Consider the following 13,030-nt stretch of genomic DNA (forward strand, 5'->3'; position numbering starts at 1 on the left):
GAGAAGTGTCTGTTCATGTCCTTTGCCCAATTTTTGATGGGGTTGTTTGTTTTTTTCTTGTAAATTTCTTTGAGTTCATTGTAGATTCTGGATATTAGCCCTTTGTCAGATGAGTAGGTTGCAAAAATTTTCTCCCATTTTGTAGGTTGCCTGTTCACTCTGATGGTAGTTTCTTTTGCTGTGCAGAAGCTCTTTAGTTTAATTAGATCCCATTTGTCAATTTTGGCTTTTGTTGCCATTGCTTTTGGTGTTTAAGACATGAAGTCCTTGCCCATGCCTATGTCCTGAATGGTAATGCCTAGGTTTTCTTCTAGGGTTTTTATGGTTTTAGGTCTGACGTTTAAGTCTTTAATACATCTTGAATTGATTTTTGTATCAGGTGTAAGGAAGGGATCCAGTTTCAGCTTTCTGCATATGGCTAGCCAGTTTTCCCAGCACCATTTATTAAATAGGGAATCCTTTCCCCATTGCTTGTTTTTCTCAGGTTTGTCAAAGATCAGATAGTTGTAGATATGCAGCATTATTTCTGAGGGCTCTGTTCTGTTCCATTGATCTATATCTCTGTTTTGGTACCAGTACCATGCTGTTTTGGTTACTGTAGCCTTGTAGTATAGTTTGAAGTCAGGTAGTGTGATGCCTCCAGCTTTGTTCTTTTGGCTTAGGATTGACTTGGCGATGCGGGCTCTTTTTTGGTTCCACATGAACTTTAAAGTAGTTTATTTCCAATTCTGTGAAGAAAGTCATTGGTAGCTTGATGGGGATGGTATTGAATCTGTAAATTACCTTGGGCAGTATGGCCATTTTCACGATATTGATTCTTCCTACCCATGAGCATGGAATGTTCTTCCATTTGTTTGTATCCTCTTTTATTTCCTTGAGCAGTGGTTTGTAGTTCTCCTTGAAGAGGTCCTTCACATCCCTTGTATGTTGGATTCCTAGGTATTTTATTCTCTTTGAAGCAATTGTGAATGAGAGTTCACTCATGATTTGGCTGTCTGTTTGTCTGTTGTTGGTGTATAAGAATGCTTGTGATTTTTGTACATTGATTTTGTATCCTGAGACTTTGCTGAAGTTGCTTATCAGCTTAAGGAGATTTTGGGCTGAGACAATGGGGTTTTCTAGATATACAATCATGTCGTCTGCAAACAGGGACAATTTGATTTCCTCTTTTCCTGATTGAATACCCTTTATTTCCTTCTCCTGCCTAATTGGCCTGGCCAGAACTTCCAACACTATATTGAATAGGAGTGGTGAGAGAGGGCATCCCTGTCTTGTGCCAGTTTTCAAAGGGAATGCTTCCAGTTTTTGCCCATTCAGTATGATATTGTCTGTGGGTTTGTCATAGATAGCTCTTATTATTTTGAGATACATCCCATCAATACCTAATTTATTGAGAGTGTTTAGCATGAAGGGTTGTTAAATTTTGTCAAAGGCCTTTTCTGCATCTATTGAGATAATCATGTGGTTTTTGTCTTTGGTTCTGTTTATATGCTGGATTACATTTATTGATTTTCGCATATTGAACCAGCCTTGCATCCCAGGGATGAAGCCCACTTGATCATGGTGGATAAGCTTTTTGATGTGCTGCTGGATTCAGTTTGCCAGTATTTTATTGAGGATTTTTGCATCAATGTTCATGAAGGATATTGGTCTAAAATTCTCTTTTTTGGTTGTGTCTCTGCCCAGCTTTGGTATCAGGATGATGCTGGCCTCATAAAATGAGTTAGGGAGGATTCCCTCTTTTTCTATTGATTGGAATAGTTTCAGAAGGAATGGTATGAGTTCCTGCTTGTACCTCTGGTAGAATTCGGCTGTGAATCCATCTGGTCCTGGACTATTTTTGGTTGGTAAGCTATTGATTATTGCCACAATTTCAGATCCTGTTATTGGTCTATTCAGAGATTCAACTTCTTCCTGGTTTAGTCTTGGGAGAGTGTATGTGTCGAGGAATTTATCCATTTCTTCTAGATTTTCTAGTTTATTTGCGTAGAGGTGTTTGTAGTATTCTCTGATGGTAGTTTGTATTTCTGTGGGATCGGTGGTGATATCCCCTTTATCATTTTTTATTGCGTTGATTTGATTCTTCTCTCTCTTTTTCTTTATTAGTCTTACTAGCGGTCTATCAATTTTGTTGATCCATTCAAAAAACCAGCTCCTGGATTCATTAATTTTTTGAAGGGTTTTTTGTGTCTCTATTTCCTTCAGTTCTGCTCTGATTTTAGTTATTTCTTGCCTTCTGCTAGCTTTTGAATGTGTTTGCTCTTGCTTTTCTATTTCCTTTAATTGTGATGTTAGGTTGTCAATTTTGGATCTTTCCTGTTTTCTCTTGTGGGCATTTAGTGCTATAAATTTCCCTCTACACACTGCTTTGAATGCGTCCCAGAGATTCTGGTATGTTGTGTCTTTGTTCTCATTGGTTTCAAAGAACATCTTTATTTCTGCCTTCATTTCGTTATGTACTCAGTAGTCATTCAGGAGCAGGTTGTTCTGTTTCCATGTAGTTGAGCGGTTTTGAGTGAGTTTCTTAATCCTGGGTTCTAGTTTGATTGCACTGTAGTCTGAGAGATAGTTTGTTATAATTTCTATTCTTTTACATTTGCTGAGGAGAGCTTTACTTCCAAGTATGTGGTCAATTTTGGAATAGGTGTGGTGTGGTGCTGAAGAAAATGTATATTCTGTTGATTTGGGGTGGAGAGTTCTGTAGATGTCTATTAGGTCCGCTTGGTGAAGAGCTGAGTTTAATTCCTGGGTATCCTTGTTGACTTTCTGTCTCGTTGATCTGTCTAATGTTGACAGTGGGGTGTTAAAGTCTCCCATTATTAATGTGTGGGAGTCTAAGTCTCTTTGTAGGTCACTCAGGACTTGCTTTATGAATCTGGGTGCTCCTGTATTGGGTGCATATATATTTAGGATAGTTAGCTTTTCTTGTTGAATTGATCCCTTTACCATTATGTAATGGCCTTCTTTGTCTCTTTTGATCTTTGTTGATTTAAAGTCTGTTGTATCAGAGACTAGGATTGCAACCCTGCCTTTTTTTTTGTTTTCCATTTGCTTGGTAGATCCTCCTCCATCCTTTTATTTTGAGCCTATGTGTCTCTCTGCACGTGAGATGGGTTTCCTGAATACAGCACACTGATGGGTCTTGACTATCCAATTTGCCAGTCAATGCCTTTTAATTGGAGCATTTAGTCCATTTACATTTAAAGTTAATATTGTTATGTGTGAATTTGATCCTGTCATTATGATGTTAGCTGGTTATTTTGCTTGTTAGTTGATGCAGTTTCTTCCTAGTCTCGATGGTCTTTACATTTTGGCATGATTTGGCAGCGGCTGGTACCGGTTGTTCCTTTCCATGTTTAGCGCTTCCTTCAGGAGCTCTTTTAGGGCAGGCCTGGTGGTGACAAAATCTGTCAGCATTTGCTTGTCTGTAAAGTATTTTATTTCTCCTTCACTTATGAAGCTTAGTTTGGCTGGATATGAAATTCTGGCTTGAAAATTCTTTTCTTTAAGAATGTTGAATATTGGCCCCCACTCTCTTCTGGCTTGTAGAGTTTCTGCCGAGAGATCAGCTGTTAGTCTGATGGGCTTCCCTTTGAGGGTAACCCTATGTTTCTCTCTGGCTGCCCTTAACATTTTTTCCTTCATTTCAACTTTGGTGAATCTGACAATTATGTGTCTTGGAGGTGCTCTTCTCGAGGAGTATCTTTGTGGCATTCTCTGTATTTCCTGAATCTGAATGTTAGCCTGCCTTGCTGGATTGGGGAAGATCTCCTGGATAATATCCTGCAGAGTGTTTTCCAACTTGGTTCCATTCTCCCCGTCACTTTCAGGTACACCAATCAGATGTAGATTTGGTCTTTTCACATAGTCCCATATTTCTTGGAGGCTTTGCTCGTTTCTTTTTATTCTTTTTTCTCTAAACTTCCCTTCTCACTTCATTTCATTCATTTCATCTTCCATCACTGATACGCTTTCTTCCAGTTGATTGCATCGGCTCCTGAGGCTTCTGCATTCTTCACGTAGTTCTCGAGCCTTGGTTTTCAGCTCCATCAGCTCCTTTAAGCACTTCTCTGTGTTGATTATTCTAGTTATACATTCTTCTAAATTTTTTTCAAAGTTTTCAACTTCTTTGCCTTTGGTTTGAATGTCCTCCCGTAGCTCAGAGTAATTTGATCGTCTGAAGCCTTCTTCTCTCAGCTTGTCAAAGTCATTATCCATCCAGCTTTGTTCCGTTGCTGGTGAGGAACTGCATTCCTTTGGAGGAGGAGAGTCGCTCTGCTTTTTAGAGTTTCCAGTTTTTCTGCTCTGTTTTTTCCCCATCTTTGCGGTTTTTCCTACTTTTGGTCTTTGATGATGGTGATGTACAGATGGGTTTTTGGTGTGGATGTCCTTTCTGTTTGTTAGTTTTCCTTCTAACAGACAGGGCCCTCATCTGCAGGTCTGTTGGAGTACTCTGTGTGAGGTGTCAGTTTGCCCCTGCTGGGGGGTGCCTCCCAGTTAGGCTGCTCAGGGGTCAGGGGTCAGGGACCCACTTGAGGAGGCAGTCTGCCCGTTCTCAGATCTCCAGCTGCGTGCTGGGAGAACCACTGCTCTCTTCAAAGCTGTCAGACAGGGACATTTAAGTCTGCAGAGGTTACTGCTGTCTTTTTGTTTGTCTGTGCCCTGCCCCCAGAGGTGGAGCCTACAGAGGCAGGCAGGCCTCCTTGAGCTGTGGTGGGCTCCACCCAGTTCGAGCTTCCTGGCTGCTTTGTTTACCTAAGCAAGCCTGGGCAATGGCGGGCGCCCCTCCTCCAGCCTCACTGCCGCCTTGCAGTTTGATCTTAGACTGCTGTGCTAGCAATCAGCCAGACTCCGTGGGCGTAGGACCCTCCGAGCCAGTTGTGGGATATAATCTGATGCCCCGTTTTTTAAGCCCATCGGAAAAGCACAGTATTCGGGTGGGAGTGACCCGATTTTCCAGGTGCCGTCTGTCACCCCTTTCTTTGACTAGGAAAGGGAACTCCCTGACCCCTTGTGCTTCCCAAGTGAGGCAATGCCTCGCCCTGCTTCGGCTCGCGCACGGTGCGCGCACCCACTGACCTGCACCCACTGTCTTGCACTCCCTAGTGAGATGAACCCAGTACCTCAGATGGAAATGCAGAAATCACCCGTCTTCTGCGTCGCTCACGCTGGGAGCTGTAGACCGCAGCTGTTCCTATTCGCTCTAAGCAGGTTTCATACCCAACCAGTTCACTCTCTCTGGGCCCAGTTTAACACTTCGGCTTGCTCAGGAGTTGTGATCCTCTTGGTGTTGACTGTCTTTCAAGTTTATTTGCGGCCCCAGAACACTTTAGCCCATGGTGGTGAGGCTTGTGGGAACTCAAGTTTGGACCACTAGGATTGACAATTCCCCTCTGACTAGGGCTGGTTTAAATGCTCTCTCCTTGGTCGGACATCAGCTGAGTTTGGTCGGGTTTTGCTTTTTGTTGTAAGAGGGCAACACTGAGTTTGATGCCTCACAATTGCTATGATTTCTGTCTCCTCAGACACAGAAATGGTCTCCACAATAAGCTTCAAAAGACAGAGGAGCCAGGGGGATTTGGGAGGGGTGGCATCAGAGAACAAGATTTTTTTTTTGTACTTCTTCAGTGCCTCTTTCAGTGATTTTGAAGTTATAATCAGGTACTATGAGTGCTCACCTTATTTTTGGTTCTTATGAAGGGATGTGTGTGTGTGTATAGATAGTTGTTAAATTGATATCCTTTGGTGGGGAAAATGATTGGTGAAACCTATTCTGCCATCTTGCCTTGAACACCTAATTAAAATTTTGGATGCAATAATAATTTAACTTTTTTACCAAAAATTATTTGTGAAAATTATATATGAAATATCTTGGCCGGGCGAGGTGGCTCACGCTTGTAATCTCAGCACTTTGGGAGGCCGAGGCGGGCGGATCACGAGGTCAGGAGATCGAGACCATCCTGGCTAACACGGTGAAACCCCGTCTCTACTAAAAATACAAAAAAAATTAGCCGGGCGTGATGGTGGGGGCCTGTAGTCCCAGCTACTCGGGAGGCTGAGGCAGGAGAATGGCGTGAACCCTGGAGGCGGAGCTTGCAGTGAGCCGAGATTGCGCCACTGCACTCCTGCCTGGGCCACAGAGCGAGACTCCATCTCAAAAAAAAAAAAAAAAAAAAAAAAAAAAAAGAAATATCTTAAGTTAGTTCATGACATATTTGATATAATTTGTGACAAATACATCACCTCAACTATATAAGTCAACTTTAATCTTTATTATTAGAGATCCCATGTTCAAGTTTGCCTATAAATGAAAGAATTATTGGCAGTGTGTTTTATAAATTTATATTAGAGGATAATCTTATTTTTTCATTATTAGACCCTCTTTGTTACTGTGCTTTCTTTTGGTTTGTCTCTAAAATGAGTACCAATAGAATCCTTTTGATAACAAATGTATTTTGAGATGTACACATACATATCACTTTGATTAAAAATCTTTCACAAAAATATTTGGTAAAATTTATTACATATATACTGGAGACTTTACACATTTTACTAGGCTTATTCATTTTATTATGGTAGACCATTCTTGAGAATCCAGGTTGTGGGGGGCATGTATAGATTGTGCACAAAACATAAAATAATACACATGACTGGTAGTATCTTGTTGGTAGATAGTGAACTAAGAAACAGGGATGTAGCACATATATAGACACACATGTCATAACATACACATGCATGCACATATATGCAAACATACGTTTTCTGGCTTCAGAGTCATGTATAGAAACATATACAGTCCTATAAATAAATATAATTGTGTATATATATATATATATATATATATATAATTAGAGCACTTAACACAATGAAAAACATTACAATTGTACACATAGGAACCATTGGTCTGGCTACTGTATAATAGGGTAAGTAGCTCAATTTTCAGAATATTATGGGGTTAGAGAAAAAATAGCTTCGACCTTCTTAGGACATTCTTTTGGGCATTCTTTCCAAAGGCCAAGGGACAAACAAGACCAAATTCTCAGTCCATGGGTCACATCTAGCTCTCACTCTAATCTGATACAACCTCCATGACTACACAGTGATAGCGAGTACTTTTCTGTTTTCTGCTTTAAAAAATTAATTTGTCAGTTGCAGTGGTGTGTGAGCAGCTGTCTGAACACCGAAGCATATAGCAACCCCATCATAGGAGGTTAGTTGTAATAGGAATATGTGGTCCTGTAATTATATGATTTTATGTGGAACATTTTAGAAGCCTTCCAAATGAAATCTCTTCCTGACAAGAGTAATGACAAAAAGATAATTTATTGGAAAGCAGTCAGATTGTATAAGGCTGTTAAATTACTCTACTACAGGTGAATCAGGGGCTAAGTGTGTTAAATTGGTGATAGCTGAATTGTTACTGATAACGCTCAATGGTCACACCATATTATGTTGGCTTAGAAAATGTTTCATGCTCTATTCTTATTGTTATCAGAAGTACAATCTCTGGATAAAGGATAAAGTAAAAATATTTCCTCTAGTAGATAATTGTAGACATTTATATATAGTCAATGGGATATTAATAGGGAAATCGTGTACTTTATTTTCCAAACTGGAACACTTTTGAAAGTGAAAGTGACCGCTATTAATAATTACATCACAACAACAGGCATAAACAAGGAAGCAGGTTCAGGGAAATTGGGATGTATAGTTACTCTAAGAATGACATATAAAACTTGACAAGATAGTTCCACAGGTGACTCAGGCCTGGCCAGCAGTGAACCTCCTTGCCTTCTGCCTTCTATTGAAGTGACATTTGTATAAATGAATTGGTTTCCATGTTATAGGTATTCATTTCATAATATGAGGATATAATGTGGTTCCTGAGCGCATTGTTTGTATTGGTTTTGCTTTAGAGCCCTAGAAATGTTTGAATTGTAGTAGTGTGTTGCAGCATCATTAGATGGAGATGGCTGGTACAATGGCTGTCATCCAAAATGATATATTTCCATAATTCTCAGTAGTGATTTGACCCTCTTGGTCTACCTCCAGTTTCTGTTTCCTTCTTATGATTTTTGTGGGAGGCTGATTTCTGATTTAAGAAAACATGTTATATTTTATTTGCTTCCTCTTTTAACTCTATTTTTCTGCACAACTGACTAATATGAATATTGTAGTTAATAGAGGCTTACAAGAAACACTCTTAATTCTCTTGTTTGCTCTAACGATATCTCACTGTGGCCTCTTAGATAAATGACCAAGTGGTTTTGTTGACATATTTATGAAGTTTTATAATAGAATAAACTGGGTAAAGTGCATTTTATGGAGCTTACTTAGGTTTTTAGTTTAAAGACAATATAGCCACAAGGAGTAGTACTATTTCAATAAACCCCAAACTAAGTCATTTTCATCCACAATTCTTTAATTCTCTGTTAAAAATGTCATTGTAGAGATGATCTTTATACTTTTGAAAAGTACCTAATTAGATCAATCATTCCAGGTATCTCTGAATTATTTTTACAAAAAAGGTTTCAGAGTTCAGGTCCAACTTGTAAAATGATGGCAAAAATTATTTTAGCTTTGAGTTGCTTGGCTTATTCATATTTCTTTTTGTTTTTCTGCACCTTTTGTATATTACTAGATTTAAATAATTTTCATAATAGTTTGAAGAAAACCACAGTGAAGTTTAAAATTTGTTGTGACTGTGAAACTGTGCTGTTGAATGATAAGGACACTCCACCCTGTTCATTGGCTAAGAGGAAATGTAATCAAAGTATTGTCTTTGTTCAGTCCATAGTCAACTTGCATTATTTCTTAATTTGTATCTTTAGATTCTGGGATATATTGAGTTTAGAAAGTTTCTTTTTACTCTGTCAACATCTTTCTTTTAAAACAATTTCTGATTTGTACCCAAATATTTTAGTTGCTTCAAGCTTTACTTTTATAAGGTACACAAATGTTATTTGTGAATATACAGTATCTTTTTTGAAGGAGAATACGTAATGTTGGTTGCCTTTTATAATTAAGCTACTGTGGATGAACCTTTTATGACAAATAAGAGACAATTTTGTTATGACTCTTATGTTACACTGTGATGCAGTTCTCTCTACTTTTCCATGCCCCCAATGAGGGGGTTTTCATTCTACTTCAGCTTCCTTATATCCAGTGACATGTGTATAATGGATCATGTTCAGCTTAGCAGTGATTCTGACAGTGCTCAGCACAAAGTAGATGCTCAGTACTTCTTTGCTGGATCTATGTTAGCTATTGAATTTCTTTTTGCATCTCATAAAGATATGTGTGTTGAGATATGATTACTTAAGGAATATTCAGGACAATGGGGAGCTGTTATGGTTGCTTTAGGCTGGGTTTGTTTTACCTACAATGGGGAAGAGAGTGACTACCACCCAAAATTTGTTTTATATTCTGAGAAGTCTCAGGTTTATTTCATAACTTGAAAAAAATGTCGGTGTTCATTCAAATGAAGAAGCAAAAATTTTCAAATAATATGCATCCACATAGAGCTTGGCTTAAAATCAGGGCCATTTGTGGCATTTCTCCCCCTTTGGCCTCCTCCATTTGTCAGCTTTTTGAGAAGGTGTATATATTTCCATAAAATTCACAGTTGGCTGACAGTAACAACATAAAACTTATTTTAGAGATTATCATTGTATTTTTTAAATTTTTTATTGGTACATGATATTTGTACATATTTATGGGATACATGATAACTTTTGTTACATGCATAGAATGTGTAATGGTCAACTAGATGGGTATCCAACATGTTGAGTGTTTAGCATTTCTATGTGTTGGGAACATTTCAAGTCCTCTGTTTCAGTTGTTTTGAAATATACAATACATTGTTGTTAACTATAGTCACCCTACCCTGGTATAGAACATTAGGACTTATTCTAACTCTATGTTTGTACCCATTAGCCGTTAATTATATAGGCATCTCAAATAGAATATTTAATGAAGAACCTTGAAGGAACTGAACTTTACTTCTTTGCGAAAAAAAAAATTGCATAATAGTGCTTAAGAAAAATGTGTATATTTAATTTCATACTGATAAAGTTGGGTTTTAATGCTATTTCACTTTACTAATGGATTTTCTCATTTTGTATTACTTTTATTTTAATCATGAGAAAGACTTGTTTTTAAAAAGTTTATTTTATTAGTATTCCAGTTCTTAATTTATCGCAAGGACAAAAAACCAAACACTGCATGTTCTCACTCATAGGTGGGAATTGAACAATGAGAACGCATGGACACAGGAAGGGGAACATCACACACCGGGGCCTGTTGTGGGGTGGGGGAAGGGAGAGGGGGGAGGGATAGCATTAGGAGATATATCTAATGTAAATGATGAGTTAATGGGTGCAGCACACCAACATGGCACATGTATACATATGTAACAAACCTGCACATTGTGCACATGTACCCTAAAACTTAAAGTATAATAATAAAAAAATGTTTAGCCCAATAAAAATAAGCAAAAATAAAATTCAGGTGGGTCCTCTTCATTTAAATGCTCAGTGGCTTTATACTTGAATACTTGACTATACAATTTATAGTTATATTAGTCAGGGTATTGCACATGGAAATTGTATTTTGCCATTTTCTGTGCTCATTCAGCTTCCTTTGATTTAAAAATTATTAAAATGGAATAAATATTTAGCACCAGCTAAGAAAAGTTTTATTTCAAACTGAAGCAGTACAAAGGTTATTGGCCATATTGTGAACAATGTAGTATGAAGTGGATTCCTTTAGTTGTTCACTTATTAAGGAAGGTAACTGGAAGAAGGGAAAAAGAATACAATGTTTGTGTTATTTGTGACCTATATTGCCCTTCAAATACTGAAGTAACACATTGGACTTAAGAATGGTAAGAGGAATAAAGATTATAAAGCATATACAAAAATCCATTATTTGGGGCTTTCTCTTACATCAGTCATGGAAAAATTTGGCATGGGAGAGAAAAGTGATGGAATTATTTGTATGAGAACATCATAAAAATTTATTAGTCAAAGTTTTCCAGCAAGACAATGGATTGTGCAACAGATACATCTAATGTAGCAGAATTTTCTTTGTTTTATCAGTGACAAATACAGGTTCATAAATATATTACTGAAGACATTTTAATTTTAAAGCCTTGCCCTTCTGCTTCAGTGATAAAAAATTATTTTTGAAATTCAAGGAAGATTATTCTTGAAATATAAAAAAAACTGCCCTGTGGTCAATGATAGTCTTAACTACCTGTCAATCAAAAGCAGAAGTTTGTTGAGACATTTAATTACAAGGTAATGTAGTCATCAAAATGTCATTGTGGTAACTGACAGCTCATTTTGGACTGAAAGTGTACAACTACCTCCCCTGAGGTCAGAGATGTTTGGAGGTTAACTTAGTAATGACAAATCCTTTATTATCACATTATGACATTGAAAAAATGTAATTACACTAATAAATTAATAACAGTAGTAAAATGACAGTCATAATTGCATAATGTACAAGTTGTCAACTGCGTTTTTGATACATGGTTGGAATTTTTATCTTATCAGTATATTTGCAGTATATTAATTGTCCTGAATATGGCACAGACACAGAAGGATTTCTAAAATTTTTCAAATGCTATGGTCTATACTTATGGGAGTCCAGTGTATCCATACTTTGATTCTACTTATATTCTTCCCACCTCTTTCTCTTCTGCTGTTTTACAAAGCCTTAAAATAAATAAGGAGAATTTGCAATTACCACTTGACCCAGTGTTAATGTGTAGTTAATGTCCTTTTTATCTGGGAAAGTTTTGACTTCTGTCTGAAGAAAATTTTGGCTTAAATGTCTTGTACTTAATGCATGAAGAAAAAAATGAAAGGAAAAGGACAGGGTTTTATACATATATATTTTATTTTATTTTATTATTTTATTTCATTTTAAATAGCTGTAGATGCAATCTTTGACTTCCTAACTTTGCATAAATATAGAAAGTAGATCTCCTTAGTATCTAACTTCCTTCTGCCTTGAAATCTTCCAGTTAATATAACTAGGAGCTGGCTAATAATAGGTTTATGCATGTAGTGTTCTAGCCGTGAGTTGGCACTTGATAGTTGACATTTATTTATAAAGAGAACTAGTGGAAAAAATGATTAGTTGGCTACTGTTTTCATTGACCTGAATTATAGAGAATTAATTGTATACCTTTTCAAACATTTCCATGGGGTAACAGATGACCTTTTAAAATGGTGATTTGCCCATTCTTTTTATATTTGCTTGCAATTCTTTATTTATATCTTCTCCTGAGTGCACTTAGAAACTTCTGGGTGTGCTGGGAAGAAAAGGTTTGCTCTTTGGTACCCAAGTCAGAAAGTTTACCCAAGTCTCTGCCAGGACCATAGATTTAATAAACTGTTAAAAGGACTGATTTCTTTGAGAGAAGTTTGAAAGTAGTATACAATAGCTTTTAGATTATGTATTATTTATATATCTATATATAGCACATATATTTTATATATAATAATTAGGAAGCTTACATTGTTTTTTCCTCAAAGGAAAGAAGGAATGCTCCAGAGTCAAATATGTTTTAGGGGAGCCTAAAGATTCTTAGGAATTCATTGGTAATATGGCTGTGCAGTGTTTTGCAAGTTTGAAAAGATGATAAATGATAATAATAACCAATATGTAATGAGTAAATTTTACTATGTTCTCAGCACTTATTAAGAAGATAGCAATGCTAACACAAACAATATTCCCAAAATGTATGAAGAGGTACTATTATTATCTTCATATTGCAGATGAGAAACTGAAGCACAGAGCAGGTAAGTAGCTTGCCTCAAATTATACATCTAGTATGTTGTGGAGGTGGGATTCAAACGCAGACATTGTGGCCCCATAGTCCATGTTCTTAAACCACTAAGGATATTGGAGGAAAACATACATAAAGAGCACTGCACCAGGAATCAGGAGACTTGAATTTTAGCTTTACTGCTACTAAGTAGTCCTTATGGTCTTGCACAAGGTTACTCTGTGGTCCCAA

At 37.2% G+C, this 13,030-nt stretch overlaps 1 protein-coding gene across 8 annotated transcripts in view; it reads left to right on the forward strand.

The window, feature by feature from the left end:
• Positions 1-13,030, forward strand: part of DACH2 (dachshund family transcription factor 2) — a 684,152-nt gene that overhangs the window by 141,774 nt on the left and 529,348 nt on the right. The window lies entirely within an intron of this gene.

This window comes from Homo sapiens, chromosome X, assembly GCF_000001405.40.
Source record: "Homo sapiens chromosome X, GRCh38.p14 Primary Assembly".
Taxonomy (NCBI): domain Eukaryota; kingdom Metazoa; phylum Chordata; class Mammalia; order Primates; family Hominidae; genus Homo; species Homo sapiens.